Genomic DNA, 22,985 nt, shown 5'->3' on the forward strand with positions numbered 1-22,985 from the left:
AGCCTCCCATGCAGCTGGGATTATAGGCTTGTGCCACCACACCTGGCTAATTTTTGTATTTTTAGCAGAGACAGGGATTTGCCATGTTGCCCAGGCTGGGCTCAAACTCCTGGTCTTGAGTGATCTGCCCACATCGGACTACCAAAGTGCTGGGATTACAGGCATGAGCCTCCATGCTCAGCCTCTCTGTCCTACATTTCAGATCCTTAATATCTGGCTGCTTTGGCAGCCTTGAACTTCAAGTTTTGTCTTCCCATGCTCATGAGACTGCCTAAAGCACTCCCATGTCTTAGCAACTAAATTTTGCCTTCCTTCCTAGGCCATCATCCCATGCCAGGGCTCAACAAGTGCTGTAGGATATATCAACAGGCAGAATTTGAGCTCATTTCAATGAGCTTTCCTTTGGTGTATAATCTGGGTCCTTCAGTCCTTTTTGTCACAGTGGCATGCTGCTGTCTACAAACAGATGTTTTGTATTTTGAGGGCTTTAAAAGTTTTTCTCAGTGGGAAAAGTGGTATGCTATGAGCTACAGCGTCAAGAAGCAGCAGAATTTTCCTTGTCAACCTTTTAACATACAATTCTTATCAAAGGTTGCTTTCTTTCAAATATGATTATGACTAAAGTGTACCCATTTAAGTTGTTTCAAAAAAGAAAACTTGTACTTTCAAACATGTCATAACTTCATAATTTTAGAATTTGTTTTTCCTGGAGGAAATTCTCCATTTTAAATTTTGGGCCAAGGGAGATATTTTAGAACACAAAATTTATGTCAATTTAGCCTGCTGTTTTTTATATATTCCATGGTTTGTAAATATGATGAATGTGTATGTATGCACACATATATAGAGAAAGCTGAGATATCAATACAGAATAAAACTTTTCAAATAAAAATAATGCAGAAGCAGCTGCTGTTCTCTAAATAAAAGAAACAATAAGCTTGATTTTAATTTTTAATTTATTTTCATGTAATTTTATGGCTTTCAACACTTCCTTATTCTGTCGTTAAATTCTCAGTTTTTATAGTTTAATGGTATATTCTCTGTAGTGCAGGCATTATATAGCTCTTTTTCTGTAGCTATTCATCTATATTCATAATACTTATAATTAGGAAATTGTTAGAAGACGTTTTCAGTATGAAGGGAATCAAGTTGAAAATTATGTAGGAATAAGAAGGGAGAGACCAAAAATTGGATGAAATGAGTCACTTATCAAGAAGAGTAAAACAGTGTTTCCAAACTATAATGTGATCAGAAAGAACCATAATCTTTGGAAACTATGAAATTAATATTGTTAAAGAAATTTTTGATCCTCCAAATTTTAAAATGTCCAGGAAAACAGATACTGTGATGAAAAACATAATAAGGTCATTAAGTTTGGGTTAATTGGTGTCTTAGCTACTGACATGATTAATGCAAGGGATTCTGAAAGTCATACAAAATTATACAATATAGAAGAAAACAATTTATTTTACAGAGAATCTTTTTATTCAATAGTTTTTAATTCTCCACTGAAATTCTCTTTACTTTGCTATTCTTGAACATATTAAGCACAGCTATTTTAAAGTTTGTGTCTGTTATCTCTATCTGATTAGAATCCTTGTAGGTCTGCTCCTCTGGGATCTTTTTCTCTGGATTTTCAATCACACTGTCTTGTCCTCTCATATACTGAGTTTTGATTGAATGCTGGACATTGTATATAAAAAATTGAAGAGATAAATTGACTTTCGTTAAAGGCATCTTCCTTTTGAAAAGAATTACATTTGCATCTGGACATAAAAAAATATATATATTGTTTGACAGAGGAACTAGCCATCCCAGGTCACATTAGTCCAATCAAAAACTGAGATGATGCCAAGATAAGTTTTAGACTTTGCTAGGATTGTTTTATTTCTGGCTTACCTTGCCTCTAGGGAGTATGTGGCCCTTCGGAATCCTAACTGAAAACTTGGAGAGTTTTCCAGGGACCCATTACCTACATTGCCAAGGCCCGAATTCTAATTTTTATCTCTGTAGACCTGTGAGAGTTTGGTTATGCAGGTCAACAAGTTGGCTTCTTAACTATCTTATTAGAAACTGGAAGAAACCCAGAAGAAAAGCAACCTGAAATGCTGGGTTCAACTTTCTAGATTTTCTTCTTTTCTTGGATCGTGGCATTGTAATTCTTCATGGAAAGGTTACTTCTCCATTGCCTTCAAAGAGATTTTTAATCTTGTTCATATTTTCAATGGGAGATTTGGTATAAAATGCCTAGGGTATCATTACTGCAATAGAACACCCTAGAATTATTTAAGTGGGAATATCAGTTATTTTTTTCCTGCCACCTGAGAATGTGAAATTAGTCTACCCATGTCAATCATTGTAGAGAACAACCTGGATTCTATTCTACTCATTTTATTACATTGGATTTTTAAAATTAGATAAGAAAAATATATATCTACTCTACTATACTAAGTAATATAAAATATATTAATAAAAGCAATAATTTCTCTCCTCATTTCCTCACATCCTTGACTAACCTCTACTCCTTAAAATAGCAAATCTTCAGTATGTATAACTCTATATTTACCTTTACATATACATACACAAGCTTATATACATATATGTATTTTTTATAAAAGGATTATAGCATAACCATTGTGCTAATTTATTTTAATAACTTTCTATATAAATTATTCAGTCTGCATTTAAAAATTGGATCCAGAGTTTCATCAATTTTTGGTAGACACAGTAATTCCATAAAATAAGAACAAAATTAGATTTGTTTTCATTTTAGGGGAAAAATGCATTTTGTGTTCATTCATCTTTCATTGTTTTCTTTTATTGGTTCTAAGGGGATAAAGTTTTTATAAGACCCTGATTTGAGTGGCTCCTAGGCTCTTTGTACATCCCATTTCAGGGACAGATGCATCTGTGAATGAGTAGGTATGCAGTCCTCTTTAAAGACTGCATCATCTTAGGCAAAATATGTTTGGTGGTTTAAGGCCAGCAGAAGAAACTACACGTACAAACACTCACCATATATATATGTATATGTATTATGTATAGACACATATATGTATATACATTTAAATCTAATATAAAATATTCATTATATAAGAAATAATATGATATACATTTATAATCAATTTTAATTCTACATTATTCTTATATATACACATAGATACACATAAACACACACTATATGAAGACAAATGTTATCTTTATACATAAAATAAGTACATTGTATTGTGTGAGTCTGCTATATTTTTAGAATACAGAAATCACTCTTCATCTACTTGGGAAAAGTTTTCATAACTGAAAAGAGGATTTTACCAGCACATATAAGTAGCTACTAGTACTATGTTAAATGGTTTTTTAAATTGTTAATGATAGCATTTCTTCAATATCATATATATGCTATGTATTTTGTTATGCACCTTGAGTGTAGTATTTTATTTAATACTTAAAATATCTTTATAGATTAGGTAATTTTTTTCATTTGCTATTTAACAGAAGAGGAAAGCAAGACAGAGAAGGTCATTTATTTGTCCAAAATCACAGCCAGGATATTTGATACTCAAACTGTCCTTCGATTCTGAGCTCACTCCTGTCTACTCAATTATACTGTACTTCAGTTTGTTCAGTTGCATTGTGTTCACATTTTCTTTTTGATCTTGCAACTTCTCAGAATTTTGTTACTTGTTTCATTTTGTACTTTTGTACAAAGTTCCATTCTGCATTGTGTTGTAAAAAGGCAGGGTGAAGCAACGTCTGTTTTTTCCTTTAAGTGGAACAAATTCACTTGAGTGACATAAATTGTCTTATATCTCAAGGGTTTCTTGAATTTCTATCAGTTTAGGCTGATAGTTTAAAAGGGTACATGATTATTCTGTAGAAGTCCTCTTATTGAAAATGATTTCCCTAAGTATTTGGCCAGTTAAGCAGAAATTCCAATTAAAGCAGGGAATCATAATATATGATTCATACAGTAATACATACACACATATACACAATATCATGCAATGTATTCCTATATCTTACACATTTTATTTTAATGTGAACTATATACTTGTAGAGTTTTTGCCAATCAATCAATACACTTTGAGTTCTTATGTGGCATCAATCAAACCTCTTTTATTGCACTGATTGGAATTTGGCATCATCAGTTAGGATATTATATTTGTTGTGTAGATCAAGCCCATAAGCCATTACATACATTTTCCAGATTTGGCTTATTTAAAGATTAATGACAATTTAAACACACTTGCAGAACAATTTAAAACAGGACACCTTATAATTTTCTTCCTCAAACTTAATGTTACAGCATTTTTAGTACTCATTTTTACTGAGATTTTACTAAGCATTCAACTTAGTTTTCAGAGAAATGACAATTTTTCTGAAATTCTTTTATTTTCCTCATATTTCGTCCCCTTAAAGGTAGCTGTAATAGGTTTAGGAAGAAACACTATACCTCTTGTTAAGCATGTAGCCGCATAGGTGGTAGGATACATGAGGAGTAGATGTGTCAGAGCTAGCCTCTGGTCTCTAGCAACCAGCATATCCTACACTGCATGTTACTCAAGGAGTAGAGTTTCCTTGTAAATGAATGGAGAGTCAGTTAAATGGAGTTTCATTTTACTGCAGTGCCTACCTTCTTTCCATCCATTACATTTCCAAAAGTAGGACTGGGAGAGATATCCAGGGTTATAAAAATGCATTCTCCTGTTGGCCCTATGTGATGGAATGCTATTTTAATCAAGGAGTGCTACAAAATATTTTCTGGATCTTACCTAAATAATTTTTATAAATATTTTCATTTAGTTTACTTCTCTAGCAATTGCTGAAATTGCTGATGCTGTTCCTGGAGATTGCTATCTATTTTACATTTTCTGTTTCAAAACTGTGTCTGCATTGTAGGCAATTCTCTGGCTACCCAAGAAATTTAATATTTTATTATATCACAATTTTTTTATTAGATATTTCGTAATTCAAAGGTCAGATCTAACAAAATGATCTTTCTGACCAAACTGGCTAGCTAAATTTAGCAACGAATTGATGGCTTTTCTTTTTTACGATGTCTTGTCTGATAATTGAAGTTTCTGAGTCAACCAGTTGTTTTGCCCTCACCTAGACATTGCCTAAGCAGGTTTATTTCACAGTCTGGTTACCAGGGTGCCTCGCTCACATAAACACATCTGGAGTTCACTTCAAATTCTTAAACTAAATACTAAAGTGTGCATTTGATCAGTGAAGTATTATCAACCCATAAATCTCCCCCTTTGCTGTAATCAGCGCTAGAGTTCTTTAAAACCATTGTCATACAAGCGTGAACCTGAATCCTTTCTCCTGGCCCATTTTGTATCTACAGGAAAAAATATAAATACATTAAAACACATTTCCCCAAACTTTTCTTGCTTCTTTAGGTTCCAGAAGTATCAAAAGAGTGGGGTGTAATTGAAATGAGCCCTGAGTGATTTGTTGCTAATGTCTTTTTAAGAAACCCATGGAAATCACAGTGACTTAAAATGAAACTCATGAATCTATTTTAAAGTTCACATAAATCTGAGATTTGAAGTTGAAGGTCACACAAAACATAAGAACTGGAAACCCTGGTGTTTCTTAGTGTGGTAGCTATTCTGATTCTGTCATTTCTGTGTGATCAGGCTGACTTCTTTTGGAGCATTGCATTATGAAAGGACACCTAGTCTGTCAGTCAACTTCTGCATACTTTAGTAACATCTTAAAAATTCTTTAAGAAGTGATGGGTGAACATTTTGTGGCTTTTCATCCCTGATATACAACTTTTTCTTTTTTGATTTCTAAATACTGACTATTATGCATTCAGGGTTTGAAAGAATATTTTCATTAAGCAGAGACTTCTTCACTCTGGCACAGGATATTGGCTTGTTCTACCATGAACATTACCTTTCCTAGCACTCCAGTCTTCCACCAGGTCCTTCTGCTGGGCACCCTCTTGGTATCATGCTCTCTTGTGGAGCATCCTGGCTCCTGGGAACCTGCCAGGGAACTATGGGCTGCACTGAATGTGCTCACACATACTCTTCCACTAGGAGCCTCCAAACTGATTCCTTGGAGTCCTGGTGATGATAAACCTACATGGCCACCCATGGCAAAGTGAAATAAAACATTTCTCCCCTGTTGGTTACAGTGTTTGGAAAATATCACATAGTATGGCTGCACCCAGATACATGCTAGGGTTTCAAAAGAAATTATTGTTTCAGTTTTCATCCCTCTCACTACTCCTCTTGTTGGGTCGGGAGACACTGTGAATGGCAGACATCATTCAGAAGTCTAAGTGTTGTGAATGGGCCAACTCATAACCCTTTGTTCTGTTGCTGCTTAAGGTCACGTTCCCCCTAGGAGCCTCTTATTAATGATTGCTGCTACAAATAGATTTTTGTGGCTCACATCTCATTCATTTATTCCATAAATGGAGGTTTTGTTCTATTATATTTATTTATTTTTGTTGCTCTTGTTGTACTGTTTTCATTGGTTCCAATTTCACTTAACATGAGTCTTTTATTCCCAACAAATAATCTTGGCCTTTTATTTATTTATTTATTTTTTGAGATAGTCTCACTCTGTTGCCTAGGCAGGAGTACAGTGGCATGATCACTGCAGCCTCAACCCCCTCCCCGGTTCAAGCAATCCTCCCACCTCAGCCTCCTGAGTAGCACACCACCACGCTCAGCTAATTTTTGTGTGTGTGTGTATTTTTTTGTAAAGACAGAGTTTTGCCCTGTTGCCCAGGCTGGTCTCAAACTTCTGGGCTCAAGTGATCTGCTCGCTTCAGCCTCCCAAAGTGCTGAGATTACAGGTGTGTGTCACTGTGCCCAGCCTATTCTTGGCTTTGATTGCGCAAAACTCAATAGCTTACAAGACATGTCCATGTATATCAGTTCAGTGGTGAACTGAGCTTGGGTTCTCTCATGGACAACTCCTCAGCCTCTACTTCAATGTGTTTATGGAAGTCTGGGCCAACTATCTGCTGAACATGATGAGTTATATACAAATCCCACTAAGACACAAATCTGGACACTTCCCCACTTTGCCACATTAATACTAGGTGTAAAGGTTATGAATTATTACCTGATTTTTACAGTTGAGTACACTTGGCCTTAAAGAGTTTACAGAAGTTGTTCAGGGCCTCACATCCAGTGAGAGGTAGTACAGATTCCAAAGCCAGACCATATCTACTGCATCTTGTTATTCTATTAAATCTGTGATATGGCATAAAAATCTAGCATTTCCTGGAGAAAACTCTTCTAGAAAGAGGTAGGAGAAATGATCTCCATCCTCTTTGTTTACTCTCTCATTCATCAGGAAGTGATTATGTGATATTTTATAGGTTTTTGTTCATGGTTCCTGGCTTATAACTCCTACAGCCCTAGTTATAATATTGTGGTCCTTTAGCCTTCAGAAGCAGGTCTCAGGAAACAGCATCTCTTTCTCTGACCTTCTTCTGCCCTCCTTTCACCTGCCCAAGGCAGGACTCTATCTGACTGTCATCATTACATCTGAATCTATCATTCCAAAGAGAATCCTGCCCCATACCCCAGAGAAAGGCATGCTGCACAGAGAGGCCAAGAAGAATCTGAACACACAGGCCTCACTGGGTTTAGATCACACCCTTTTTGTCCAATCACATTTCTACATGGTTGTCAATTATGGAAAACAAATAAAATCTTCATGAAAGGCCTAAAAGACAGGGTTCAGAGAGCTTCTGGAGAGCTGAATACATGGAGGTTCCTAGACGGTGGCACACCCAGATATGGTTTGCCTGTGTCCCCGCCCAAATCTCATGTTGAACTGTAGCTCCCATAATCCCCACATGTCATGGGAGGGACCAGCTGGAAGGTAATTGAATGATGGGGGTGGGTTTTTCACATGTTGTTCTCGTGATAGTAAGTAAGTCTCACGAGATCTGATGGCTTTATAAAGGGCAGTTCCCCTACATACACTTTCTTGCCTGCCACCATGTAAGACACGACTTTGCTCCTCCTTTGCCTTCCATTATGATTGTGAGGCCTCCCCAGCCACATGAAACTGTGAGTCCATTAAAACTCTTTTTCTTTAAACAAATTACATAGTCTCAGGTATGTCTTTATTAGCAGTGTGAGAACAGACCCAGGTAGGACATAAAAGCTCTGTACCCCTTCCCCATTACCTTACCTTATGCATTTCTTCATCTGGATCCTTTGTGATAGCCTTTATAATAAAGCAATAAACATAAAGCAAGTGTTACCTTGAGTTTTGTGAGTTGCTCTAACAAATTAGTTGAACCCAAAGAAGGGTCACAGGAACCCCAACTTATAGCCAGTCAGAAGTTCTGGAGGCCCAAACTTGTGACTGAAGTGTCTGAAGGCAGGAGGCAGTTTTGGGGACTGAGCCCTCAACCTGTGGGATCTGACACTCTTCTCTAGGCGGGTAGGGTCAGAACTGAATTGGAAGAAACCCAGCTGGTATCTACTGCAGAACTGATTGCTTTCTTGCTGGTAGGGAGAAATCACGACATGTTTTGTGGTCACAGATGTCTGTGTTGATGGTTGTTGTTCTTTTGGTAAGAGAGTAGAGGAAAATTGGTTTGGGAGTTTTTTCCAACAGAGTCACTTTCAAATTCTCCGGATTGAAGAATCACTGGGGAACTAGACTTCTTTGCTTTTCTTCCAGATTCTCACAGAGAAGTTTGTTTCTTTGTTTTACTGTTAAGAAAATAGTTGTTTTCACATTACTTTTTAGTTTGTTTGAAACCTGTTGGCACCTCATTTTAAAGTGCCATTTAACATTGTTCAGTCATAATGAGAGAGAAACTTTTCTTAGACTTATAGAATGTGGGGTCTAAGAAACACATACTCTACTTCCACATTTGATGCTTCAATCTCACCAACCAGGAGACTGGCATGCTTTCCTATAGACACAACAGACCACTCTCCATAGCCTAAACACAAGCTACTCTATCTTCACAGCATTTCCTATTGTGCCAAACTTGTTCCCTTGTTGAGCACAAAGCTTCTGATCCTACCCATGCCTTCCAAGAGGATATGAAAATGTCTCCTGTTTCTTCCACATAGAGAGCTTTCAGAAATCCTCACGACCCTTCCAATACAATAAAAATAACCCTTATTTCTTTCTTATTTTTAATTTTATGGACCACTTAAAAATCTTGTTTGAAATGCCCTCTGACGTAAGGGAAATTAATTGTTTACAGGCAAGGAAAATGAGGTTCAGCTAAAATAAAGGAGTCAAAACCAAGATTCTTCTGGCCCATTTGTTGGGACTCTCTTCTCCAAGCCTCCCTCCATTTCTAAGTGAACTGTTCCCATTTTTTGCCAGTTGTTCCCCCTATAAGCCTGTGCCAATGTCCACTCAGTATCTCAGGCCCTGTCCCAGCTTATGATAATGTTCACAGTGCTCAGGACTGAAATTAGGGACCACAGCTATTTTTGATCAGTACAGATGGATTATGCTCTCCAAGAAAGATTGTGCTGATAAACTTATGTTTGCTCAAGTAAGATCAGTGCAGAAACCATGTAAGGTGGAAAAAAAAAAACCTCAGCAGAACACTGTAGGGGGCTACATTAAAGGAATTTTCTAAGGATGAAATTGTTACATAATAAAAAATATTATTTCAACTGTTTTCTTTTGCATGCATTATTTTCCATCTTACCTTACAAAGGTATTCACCCCCATTATATTTCCATTTCCCAAAGTTCCAAAACCGTTCAGAAGATAGAATTGTAGGAGTCTCTCCTGTGCATCCCCATCTCCATTGCCATCACCCTAGCTGGGTCCTTGATGCTTATCCTGGCTGTTTGAAATATCCTCCTTATTGTTCATAATCACTCTCATTACTCCCTCTTGCAGATTCATAATCCACATTGCTTCCAGGGTTATCCTTTCCAAACCTAAAGGGACTAAGTTAGTCAGGGTTCTCCAGAGGGACAGAACGAATAGGAAAAATGTATATATAAAGGGGAGTTTATTAAGGAGTTTTAACTCACATGATCACAAGGTCCTGCAATAGGCTGTCTGCAAGCTAAGGAGCAAGGAAGGCAGTCAGAGTCCAAAGCTGAAAACTTGGAATCCAGTGTTTGAGGGTAGGAAGCATCCAGCATGGGAGAAAGATGTAGGCTGGGAGGCTAAGTCAATCTGGTTATTTCACATTCTTCGGCCTGCTTTATTCTGGCCACACTGGCAGCTGATTAGATTGTTCCCACCCAGCTTGAAGGTGAGTCTGCCTTTTCCAGTCCAGTGACTTAAATGTTAATCTCCTTTGGCAACCTCTTCACAGACATACCCAAGAACAATACTTTGCATCATTCAATCCAATCAAGTTGACACTCAGTATTAACCATCACAGGAACTAAGTTTATTTCCTACTCAAAACTTTCCAATAGTCTCCCCTTATGTGAAAAATAACATACAGCTTCTCAGGCTTCTAACCCAACTTTTACAATTTTCCCCAAACTCTCCAAAGACCTTCACTAAAACATTCTTAATTCTAAGAGACTAGAAATTGTATTTGCAGTTCTCCAACGACAGCTTGTATATTTCCTGCTTCTGTGTCCGAAAGCACACTGGTCTTCCCTTCTTTCTAGGATTCTAATTGCTTCTTAGCTACCTTCCAGAATCTTCCAATTTTTCAAAGGCTCATTAAAATCTAATCTCCTCTGAAAAGCCTTCCTGTGGTCTTCATTTTTCTCAGCTTCTTTTCAACTCTATTATGTATTTATCAGAGTCTGCTACTATTAATTATTTATGTATTTGGCTTGCCTGAAACACTGCAATTCCTGGAGAAGAACATTCACTGCACATCATAGGCACTTAAAAGGTTTTATGGATTGAATTGAATTCCAACTGATGTTAGCATATTCACATATTTATTTATTCATCATGCATTTCCTTAGCATATGTTTATTGAATGACTACTACATGCCAACTGAGAGAATGCCAAGCCTGGTAGGCAAGATCGGCACAAACACTTCTAAGTAGAATTCAATGTAGAAGAATGACACAATCGACATACAGCAAAGAGCTGGTGATCTGCCATACCTTAGTTTTATGTTGTGCTTCCTCAGTGCCCTTTTTATTCTTTCTGCTTCTATTTCTCTTGATCGTGAGGCTTTTGTCTCTTGTAGGCTCTATCTGAACTGTTATTGGAAAGCCATGTAAAACATGATGTCATCCAGTACTGTTTCATTCTTGTCATAGTATTCTAGTCCTAGTTTTCTTTTCCTTTTTGTCTATAATAACAATTATGAATTCCTTCAGCATTTTCTGCCTTTTTTTGCTTGCTTCAGAGTTAAAGAAAGTCTGGTAGTTTTCTTCCTCCTAAAGATCGACAAACAAAGCATTCGAATTTTAAGTTTTTTTTCTGTTATTAATAATAAGTGAGGTCAGAGAGAAAAAGTGTTAATACAAGAAGAAAACACAAAGATCCAGTGACTCTTACAAATGTCATTAAATCTTAGCCTTTTACTCATAGTTCAAGGATTTCTTCTGGAAGAATATTTAATTGCATAATTATGCTTTTGCTCTAATGGATATTTATTTTTATTACGGTAAAATACACAGAACTTTTCGGTGCATGGCTTTGTGGCATTAAGTACATTTACATTGTTGTGAACCCTCACCACCATCCCTTTCTAGAATTTTATCTTTCCCAAATGAAGTTTTGTACCCACTAAACACTAACTCCGCATTCCTCCCTTCCCATCCACACTTTCCAACACCTAGAAACCACCATTCTACTTTCTGTCTCTGAATTTGACTAGTCTAGTTATTTTGTACAAGTAGAATCATGCAGTATTTGTCTTTTTGTGTGACTGGCTTATTTCCCATAAAATAATGTCCTCAAGATTCGCCCAGGTTGTAGTGTACGTCAAGTTTTTTTCTTTTTCAGGCTGAATAATATTCCCTATATTTATATACCACATTTTGCTTACCTGTTCATCTATTAATGGACATTTAGCTTGCTTCTACTTTTTAGCTATTGTGAATTATGCTACTGTAAACACCAGTGCATAAATATCTGAGTCCTTGCTTTCAGTTCTTTTGGGCATATATCCGGAAATAGAATTCCTGGATTGTATGGTAATTATAGGTTTAATGTTTTTAAGGAATCACCATCCCTTTTTTCAAGTGCGTACATCATTTATATTTTCATCAGCAATGCACATGAATTCAAATTCTTCCACACCTTCACCAACACTTATTGTTTTCTTTCTCTTTCTTTTTGAGATAACCAACCTAACCAATGTAGAGCGTTCTCTCATTGTGTCACCATGGATATTTCTGATGGTGACACTCACCAAATCTTACTCCTTCTTCAGACTTTTATTTTTTATGGAAGAGTATGTTAACACTTTCCTCTATGAAGTCTTATTTTCCCAGAATGTCATTGTAAATGGTCATGTAAGGAAAAATAGTAGATACTTTTTAGGGAAAGAAATTTATTTAGATTTGTGAAAGCTCCATAGTGATGATACCATCACGGTAGGCCCCTTCCCCCTCAGCAAGGTCTCCATAGGAAATTTCCTCATACCTCTATCATCACATTTGACATCAGCTCAGACATGGACCTACCCAGCAGCAATAATCCATCTATTTTCATCCAATCATTCATCAATTCATCCCTCTAAGCATTCATTCAACAATTAATTATTGTACACCTATGCTCTGTTTAAAACTAGCAATTCCTTTTAGTCTTTTTATTATTTATGATAACTAAGGAAATATATTAATGAAATACTTTGGCTATTTTCTTCTGATTGAGTATCCAGGCTGGTTCTCCGGACGTATTTTCTGGGCAAGATAAAGAGACAAAGCACAATGCTTTTTAGAAATGAAATGTTCACCTCATCTATGGCTCACATAGGCATTTCAAAGTGGGACCTAATGCTTTTAGAAACTATATTTACACAGCATAAAATAGGAACATGTATTCCACTTAGAGTGAAAACTATTCATGCCTTTCTTATATGGTAAATAACATATTGTGAGTTAAGGATGTTTAATAGACACTAAATAATGTAATACATGAGAAAGGAAACTATGATTGGCTAGCCCAGTTACCTCGGTCTTACAATATATTTTTTTAAATTGAACTTTCTATCATTACAGTAGTGATTTTTGTTTTTTTTCTGTCTTTTTTTCTTTTTGAACAAGAAAAAACAAGATTGACAATGAGAATTGTCACATGCAGCATGTTGTTAGATTTCAGAGTTATAACAAAATAAAAATTGAAGTAATTTCACATCAAATATTGCCCAGATAAATCCAGGGATTTCCACCCACTTTGTTCTTAGGAAATCATCACCGTTTCTCATTGTAGAAGTATTTCCATGTGTAATTAATTTAAATATAACATAAAAGAAACAGACTCTAGCAGAAACAGACAATAATCTTTTACTCAAACATATTCAACCACAAACCAAAGTCATATTTTGGATCGTGTCCTCATTTTGATGATCACAGGATTTATCTTATTTGTGGTTTACTTGGGCTATTTTCAATGCCTGGAGAGACATGATGTACATTGTAGAATAATGCAATAAAGTAATTGAGCATATTTTCCTCATCTCTGGGCATATTTATGCTTGTACACACAGTTCCATTAAAAGGGCCAGAATGCAGCAAGCTCAGCTGTAAGTTATTACCATGATGGTGCTGGCGTGCTAGGGCTGCTCTCACACTGAGATGCAGACTGGGTGTTCCAGTGGGATGGATTATCCTAGAGTCTGCTAAGAAGTCAGTGCATCCCATGGAGAGAAAAATCTGTTGGGCTTAAAAGAAAAATGCCTGTGGAACAACACAAACTAACATCTAATCCTTTGCCAGCAGAAGCTTTTAAGGGAAGTGAAAAATTATTGACAGACAGAAATGTTCTTCTGAGTCTAGAATCAGAACAAATCCAGCTGTGGTCATTCTACTGGATCTCAGCAAAACAAACTTGGTTGCTTACATTTGTTCTGACCTCTTACATGAGAAAAGATTCAGAACTGGGTAATTTCAACTGAGAAAACTTGGTTAAATGAAATGAAATAGGTTTAGATACAGGATGTTGAGGCAAGTACAATATGATTTGAGAGTCAGAGTTTGGAATTAGGAGCCTCAAATCAGACCAGATGATTTTTAAGACAACACTAGAAACTTGAAAATGCAAATAATGAATAGGACCCCATAGACTTTTAGGGGGAGGCAAGAAATTTTCAATGCACTGGATTCTATTCAAGTTATAAATTGATCCTGACAGTAAATAGGAGTGTTTTGTGCTATATTTGCCTTATGGCAAACAGACTTGAGCTGATTTTGCTCTCTCTGAGAAGTGGCTATGAGTTTTGATCAAGAGTGCAAAGGAAAAAGTTAGTTTGAGGGAAAGAATCAAAAGGCCAAGGTCTGAATTCTAGAACATTGGTCTGATCTGGAGTCAGAAGACCAAGGTCTGATTTCTAGTTTCTTTACTTACCAGGGTTATTTTGGAAATGTCATTTCATCTCCTCTTAGTTTTCTTTTTCCTGAGAAAATGAGAATGTTTTCTGTCATCTTTATCTGAGGACAATGTGCAAATGTTTTGTAAACTCTTGTCAAGGATTATCATTATTTTAAAACTGAATTCCTTTCTCAGTGATAATTAAGTAAACTATGAGAAAAATAATTCTTAATATGAGAACTATGTAAAACTTTTTTTGTGTGCAGTTGAGTTGGAAGTGTGTTTTGGAGAACTCAATGTCTGGAAGCTGTAACTGGTTTGTTTCCAACATACAATACATTCCTATTGCAGGTTTATGTATTAGGGTATTGCTAGCAACCATACCAAATAAAGCTAAAATTGCAATTCTTTAATACAATAGGAGTATATTTCTTGCACATATAAAATAGGTATTCTTGATTGGTGGGCTGTTCTTCAAGTGGCGATTCAAGAACTTGGTGGTTTGTTTCGTTTTGCTTTTGCTTTATTATCTTTAACACACAGCTTCCTACATAGCTATGTATGCAAGCCACTGGATAGAGAAACAACACAGTGGATATGGTGTGGAAGGCTGTTTATGAGCCAGCTCTGGATGTGGCACACATTCCTTCTGTTTAATTCCATTGGCTAGAACTCAGGCTCACAGTCATGTCTCTTTGAAAGGAAGGCTAGAGAATACAGTTGATTTTTGTGCCTGAGAAGATGAAATGGGATTGGTAAGCAGCTAGCTAGTATCTGCTAAAATTTTGGATCAGAACAACAACTCATGCAGTATCTGGACTGCAATACAGGTAAGTTGATCATTTTAATTGAAGTGTCAGTTGATGAGAATAAAAAGACCAGGCTTTTCATGAATCCCCAGAGGACATTCAGAAATGCCGTGTTCAGCAGTAGTGGATACGTGTATGCTTGTGTGAAGCATCGGCAGAGGGTAATCCCAATTCAGGTGTAATATTTTCCCTTTTGTCTTCTCATAGGAGCTGACTGAGTTGGCTTGGCTGTACATAGGAGGAAGACCCTGATCCCTGGTGCTCAACACAGAAATGCTTCAATGATACCCTGAGATTGTTTTACCTTGCAACACTCTCTGGAAAATTGCTGCTCCAGGAATGCGATGAAAAGATCTGTAAGAGAGCACAGCCCCTGTTGATTGACTTGTCTTGGTAAGCTTTCCTAGTTCTCTCGCGAAAAAAAATGTGAGCCATAAAACCACTTATATGTGGACAGCAATCTCCTGGTCTAACTTTCAAGCAGAAGCGATTTCATGGTCAAGGGCTAGCCTCAGAAAATAAGCCTTGTTAATGAATATATAATTCTATGGTTCCTGAAGGTATGTGCATACAAGAACTCATGATGTGAAAGGACCATGAACTGAGGGAAACTGACCCATTGGGTTAGTGGTGAGCACAAGAATGAAAGGCATTCAGCCATTGAATTACAAGCACCTCCAAGTACCACATAATTACATTTCTACCAGGATTTTTATAAACAAATATAACAATGTTGACTTTGGATTTGTTAGCTTCAGGCTCCCACACATTTTTATTCCTCATGACTATTTTATTTTATTTTTCAAAAGAAAAGAAACCCCCGTATATGTGGTCAGAGAATAATTCTGTGCACTGGGAACTTTTCAAATAAATGTACTACTCATGCTCAGTGAATGACCTTCACTTAGCAGCAGTATGTAAACCTTGGAAAAAAATTAAAGCCAACATAAAATTATCCGAAAATTCCAGAGTTCTAGCTCCATGGCCCCTATAAGAAATTCTGAATCAATAAGTATGAGATCTGGGAATGTGAATTTTCATACAAACCTCATACAAAATAATTCCAATGTAGCTAGTCCTTCTACTTTGGGAAATACAGATTTGGTGATTTAATATGATTTGCTCAGGTTTGTGTACAAGTATACACAAAGAGTTTTGTGTATCCCTTAACATGACAAACTATCACATGATTATCATTGTCAAGTGAATATTTGCTCCTTTTTTATCTTAGGAAGTCAGCAAGGGCACAATAGATTTGGATCAAATGGGTAATATAATTTGTGGGCATTGTAAGTGATATGTTGACATCACTCCAACTATTTAGCACCTACTATTTTCCACTAAAATATACTGCACCAGACACTTTATATTCATGTCTAAATCTCAAAATAACAAAGAGAGGTGGCTATCATTGACTCAATCTTATAGTTGAGAAAACTGCAATGCAAAGGGGTTAAATTGTATTTGTCCATTTGCATTGCAATAAAGGAATACCTGAGACTGGGTAACTAATAAAGAAAAAAGGTTTAATTGGCTCAGGGTCCTGCAGGGTGTACAGGAAGTGTGATGCCAGCATCTGCCTCTGATGAGGACTCAGGAAGCTTATAATCATTGCAGAGGGCAAAGGGGAGCAGGCACATCACATGTTGAGAGTAGGAGACAGAGAATGAGAGGGGTGAGGTCCCAAACCTTTAAGCAACTAGATCTCACTTGAACTTAATGAGCAATAACTCACTCATCAAAAAAGGAATGGGGCTAGGCCATTCATGAGTGACCCACTCCCACGATCCAACCACCTCCCGCCAGGCCCCACCTGTAACACTGGGAATCACATTTCATTCCCTCCCTGGCCCCCCAAATTTCATGTCCTTCTCACATTTCAAAATACAATCATGCCTTCACAAAAGTCCAATTCAAAAGTCCCAATTCCCTAGTTCCAATTCCAGTGTTCACCTGGAGATAAGTTCCTTCCACATATGAGCCTATGAGATAAAAAACGAGTTATTTATTCCCAAGAGACAATGGTGGTACTGGCATTGGGTGTACATTTCCATTCTAAAAGGGAGAAATTGGCCAGAAGAAAGGGGCTACAGGCCATGCAAGTCTGAACCCATCAGGGCAGTCATTAAATCTTAAAGCTCCAAAATAATCCCCTTAGACTACATCTCCCATATCTTGGGCACACTGGTGCAAGGGCTGGGCTTCCAAGGCATTGGGAGCTTCACCCCTGTGGCCTTGCAGGGTACACCCTCTGCACCTGGTCTCATGGGCTAGAGTTGGGTGCCTGCAGATTTTCTAGGCTCAGGATGCAAGCTGCCAGTGAATCTACCATTTTGGGGTCTGGAGGGCAGTAGTTCCCTTCCCAGAGCTCCACTAGGCAGTGCCCTTGTGGGAACTCTGTGTTGGGGCACTAACTCATTTCCCCTTGACATTGCCTTAGTGTTTCTCTGTGCGGGCCTGCCCCTGTTGCAGACTTCTGCCTGGGCACCCAGGCTTTTCCATACATCCTACGAAATCTAGGGAGAATCTGCCAAGCCTCCTTCACACTTACATTCTGTGTGCCCACAGACTTAACATCATGTGGAAACCACCAAGGCTTGTGGTGGTTTGCACTCTCCAAAGCAGAAGCTTGAGCTGTACGTGGGGGCACTTTGAGCCAGGCTGGAGCCAGAGCAGCCCGGATGCTGGGAGCAGTGTCCTGTCTTCACGGGCAACAGAGCCCTGTGTTTGAGCCCTGAAATCATTCTTTCCTTCTAGACCTCTGGCCCTGGGATGGGAGGGGCTGTCTCCAAGATCTCTGCAGTGCTTCTAAGCATTGCCTTGTCTATTAGCATTTTGTTCCCTTTTAGTCATGCTAATCTCTGTAGCAAGTGGTTGCGCTACACCTTACTTGAATTTCTCTTCTAAAATGCTTTTTTTGTTCTCTGCCACATGGCCAGGTTGTGAATTTTCCAAACTTTTATGCTCTGCTTCCCTTTTAAATATAAACTCCAACTTTAAGTCATTTTTTTTTTTTGCTTCATTGTCTAATCATAGACTGTTAGAAGCAGCCATGCCACATCTTCAAAGATCTGTTGCTTAGAAATTTCTTCTGCCAGATACCCCAGGTCATTACTCCTAAGTTCAAACTTCCACAGATCCCTAGGTTACACACACAATGCAGCCAAGTTCTTTGCTAAGGTATAGCATAGGTAAACTTTACAGTGAAGGTCATCAGCTTGGCCTTCACTGTCCAAATTTCCATCAGCATTTTGGTCAGAACCACTTAACAAGTCTCTAGGAAGTGACAAACTTTCTCTCATCTTCCTGTCTTCTTCTGAGCCCTTCAAACTCTTCCAACGTTTTCTCATTACCCAGTTCAAAATCTGCTTCCACATTTTCTGGTATCTTTATAGCAATATCCCACTTCTTGGAACCAATTTTCTGTATTAGTCTGTGTGTGCTACTGCAAAGGAGTACTTGAAACTGGGTAATTTATAAAGAAGTTTAATTGGCTCAGGGTTCTGCAGAGCACACAGGAAACATGGTGCCAGCATGCTTCTGGTGAGAGGCTCAGGAAGCTTACAATCATGGCAGAAAGCGAACGGGGAGCAGATGCATCACATGGTGAGAGCAGGAGCAAGAAAGTGAGGAATGGGGAGGTCCCAGGCTTTTAAACAAGCAGCTCTCATGTGAACTAACTGAGCAAAAACTCACTTATTACCAAGGGGATGGTGCCAAATGATTTATGAGTGATCTGCCCTCATAACCCAATCACCTCCCATTGGGACCTCCTTCCAGCATTGGGAATCACCTTTCAACATGAGATTTGGAAGGGGCAAACCTCCAAACTATATCACTTGCTAAATTTTGATGGTAAGTGGCAGAGTCTAGATTTGTATCCTATTGTTTCATTCCGGTTCTCTGCCTTTTCATTTGCTCTAGATCAAACCAGAGCTTCTGGCTGGGATACTGGTATCTTGAGTGAGTCACAGCAGGAGATACGTGCTGGAGCTGAAGAGGTTGGAGAGGCAGCAGAAAAGGTAGGAGACAGCAAGAGAAGGAGAGCAGCCTACAGATGAGAAGACAAGTAATTTACCCTAAAGTTCTAGGACTGCTGTTGGTCAAAGGAAAAATCCTTCTGAGAGATTTTGATTTTAGGTTTTGATTCTACTTCTGTTTCTATGAATGCTAGAGAGAAGAAGAAGCCTATGAAGTATACATTTTCATAGTATTTTATAGATAAGAATCAGTGTATTTAAGCTATTAACTGAGTCACCTAATTAGTTAATGAAAGAGTTGGGATTACAACCCAAGTGTGTTTGATCTCAGGGACCACACTTTCTAATTCACAAATAATCTTTCCCTAGTAGAATCCATACCAGTGTTTTCCAAACTTGTTTTTTCTGTGAGATTAACAAAAGTAAATTTAGAGTATAATCTGCAATAAAAGTCGTTGTTGGTGGTGAATTAGAGGCAAGAGTCAGAAAGACCATGTAATTGAATATGTGAAGCAACAGGGGTTTTCGCTAATGGGCTGTGTTCCTGAAAAGGTAAGGAAAGAGAAAATAATGAGGACAAAGAAATGAATAAGGCAAGGAAAAGACAATAATAGAAGCTGAAACGAAGTGAAAGGAAAAACAGACCATTTGCTATATTTCGCTTTATTACCACCACCATTCTTAGACATCAGAAGATTTAAAAAAAATCACGGCAGTAACTTCTTGAAGTAATATTGATAAAACTTGCTTCCAAATATTTATATTTTTTGTAACTAAAAGCATAATCAGAATTCAGTGATCCCTTTTTAATGCCACAAGTAGTGCAATGTTAACAAGCTAGACTGCATGATATCCTGTTTAAGTGTGTGTCTGTGCGTGAGTGGGGCAGGGAGGGGGTCTTTGTGATGTTATATCTACCTATCAGTATGAATGTAGGAAGTAAATTCTGAATTGAGAAAATCATCATATTGCAACTATATGTAATTTATGTGAATTAATAATAAGGGCATAAATCTTGCTGCTTATTCTAGTTCATAAGGAGCTGGTGAAGAAGTCCTTTATAATGAAATAATTACTTTTTCAAGGCAAGAAGATAGTAGTAATTTGATAGGTGAATGACTTCCCAATATATAAAAATCAAATCCAAGGGAATTTCTAAAGCCAAATATATATTATTTTTAGCTTTTGTACCACTTCAGATAATTTATATCCATAGCCTTTAATTAGAATTTAAAAAATCAAAAGTTGATTTTAAGAAGATCTCCACAGATAGGATTTAATGCGATTTTTGTCTGCACATTGTTATTTTCTGATTATTCTACAATTAACGCAGGTTAGTAAACAAATTAAAGGAGATAATTGTTGATAAACAGATAAAGCCAATTCTCAAATTCTGAATAAGCCTAATTCATTGGCAAATATGTTGATTGTAGATAAGACCACATTTTTAGATAAAGATGACAATTTAAATTCTATTTTGATTTCAGGTCAGCTCACAAAGACCTCTGAAACTTTCATTTAGTTTAGCTTCAGCACTGATAAGAGAAACTGAAATTTACTGTCTTCTCTTTTATTATGTGATGCCTAAGACAGGAAAAAGGAAGAGCTCCTTTAACTCTTCTTGGACTTTTTAAAAAAAAATAGCTTCACTGAACTTTAATTGACATACAGTAAACTGCACAAGCTTAAAATGTGCAATTTAACAAGTTTGACTTATCTTGTAATAAGTTCTCACGAAAAATTTGAATTAAGCCAAAGCTATCCTCTTATTCTACTTCCTTATACTGTCCCCTCTACCATCCATTGCAAAATATGTTTGTTAGAATGTGGGTAAAATACTGTGGAGACTAGTCTCAAAAATGACAATTACTGGTGATCTAGTGTCTATGAGAAAAATATATTCTAAATTCTTAGACATTGTTTTACAAAATTATTATTATTTTTATTTTTATTTTTTTATTATTATACTTTAAGTTTTAGGGTACATGTGCACATTGTGCAGGTTAGTTACATATGTATACATGTGCCATGCTGGTGCGCTGCACCCACTAACTCGTCATCTAGCATTAGGTATATCTCCCAATGCTATCCCTCCCGCCTCCCCCCAACCCACAACAGTCCCCAGAGTGTGATGTTCCCCTTCCTGTGTCCATGTGTTCTCATTGTTCAATTCCCACCTATGAGTGAGAATATGCGGCATTTGGTTTTTTGTTCTTGCGATAGTTTACTGAGAATGATGATTTCCAATTTCATCCATGTCCCTACAAAGGACGTGAACTCATCATTTTTTATGGCTGTATAGTATTCCATGGTGTATATGTGCCACATTTTCTTAATCCAATCTATCATTGTTGGACATTATTTTTAACACATCTTACTTGTGAAATGAAGACTAGCCAGCATTTACCAGTGTTGATAATCATCCTAACTGGTACATCTGGTCTTCTCACTTATTCTGAATATCACATATATTCTGTTATATCTTTCTATATCAAATGTCCAATAAAGCCCAATTATCTGATGTCATATGAAAGCAGCTTGTGGAAGGTGGGACTATTGGAGATGCTGTACCCCTGCTAGGAAGTGGCTCTGGAAAATGTTTCATTTAATATCCAATGAGATTGAGTTGGAGCTAATGTCTGAGTGGTAGATATAAACTAAAGCTGAGCTTTCTATGTTCTGCTCAGCCCTTTGATCTTTTGAGCTTTGCTACCTCTCTTCTTTACCTCCCTACTACCGCCTGCTGCCTGGAGGCCTCCTCTTTTTTTCTAACCCAGAATATAAAATTCTACTTAATAGTGCATTTTTCAAGGCAGTTAACAGTACAGCTTTCCTCCTTGAAGTCTACTCTGCATTATTGCTATTAGAAGAAGGAGGAACCTGCAGGGATGTGCAAAAGTTAGACCAAGAAATAAAACATATTGGTGGTCTTCCACCAGATCATGAGTACACCCATATCCATCTTACAGCCCTGGTTTTGCTTTTATGCAGTGGAACTATCACCCACTGCTTCTATATGAAACTTCTAAGATTTTCAACCTACAAGTCTTTTCATGCTAAGAAATGGCATTTCTTAAAAGAAAAAAGAAATAAAAGAATGTCTGGAAATTAGTTCTACAATGAAGTTACAAATGAGAGCATTGATAATTCAGTCTTATGCTGCTTCTTGAAATATGATGGTTTCTTTTTTGATAGAAGATGTCTTTCATATGTAAGCAGCACAAAAAAACTTATAATTTTATATTTTATTCTTAAAATTCTTATAATTTTAATCCCATTAGAATATACTACATAAGTGACTACAGTCATTATTATGTTGATAAAATTTTATTCTCAATCATTATTAAATGTAATTGTGAGATTAGAATTGATGCATTTGATAGTTTGGTCTCTTTATTGTGAATTTCTGTATCCCTTTTGCCCCTGCAAGATTTTGGTGAAAGATGAGACTTGAACGCCAAACCTCGTGTTACAGATACTTTATACATATTTCCACCTTTGATCTTTGCAGCAACTTTGTGAACTAAGTATCATGATTTTAAGTTTACAGGTTAGAAAACTGACACCCAAGGAGTTAGAGAATTTGTTTAACTCCACATGGGGGAGTCTGAGATTTGCTTACACCTAGGTCTGCTGGGCATCCTTCACTATCTTAGGACAAATTGCCACAATTTAGGTAAGGGCCAGGACTTTATTCTAGGTGCATTACTCACATTGCTATCTCAGCTAAGGCTCCTTGCTCTTCGTTCACATCATCTCTGGGGT

At 37.2% G+C, this 22,985-nt stretch overlaps 1 long non-coding RNA gene across 2 annotated transcripts in view; it reads left to right on the plus strand.

Annotated features, from left to right (window-relative positions):
- Positions 1 to 19,419, plus strand: part of LINC01507 (long intergenic non-protein coding RNA 1507) — a 210,026-nt gene extending 190,607 nt beyond the window's left edge. For both annotated transcript variants that reach the window (NR_121213.1, NR_121212.1), the window contains 2 exons: positions 15,448 to 15,633; positions 19,165 to 19,419. This is a non-coding gene — a long non-coding RNA (long intergenic non-protein coding RNA 1507). The remainder of the gene's footprint in view (positions 1 to 15,447; positions 15,634 to 19,164) is intronic.
- The last annotated feature ends 3,566 nt before the right edge of the window (positions 19,420 to 22,985 follow it).

Source organism: Homo sapiens, chromosome 9 (genome assembly GCF_000001405.40).
Source record: "Homo sapiens chromosome 9, GRCh38.p14 Primary Assembly".
Classification (NCBI taxonomy): Eukaryota; Metazoa; Chordata; class Mammalia; order Primates; family Hominidae; genus Homo; species Homo sapiens.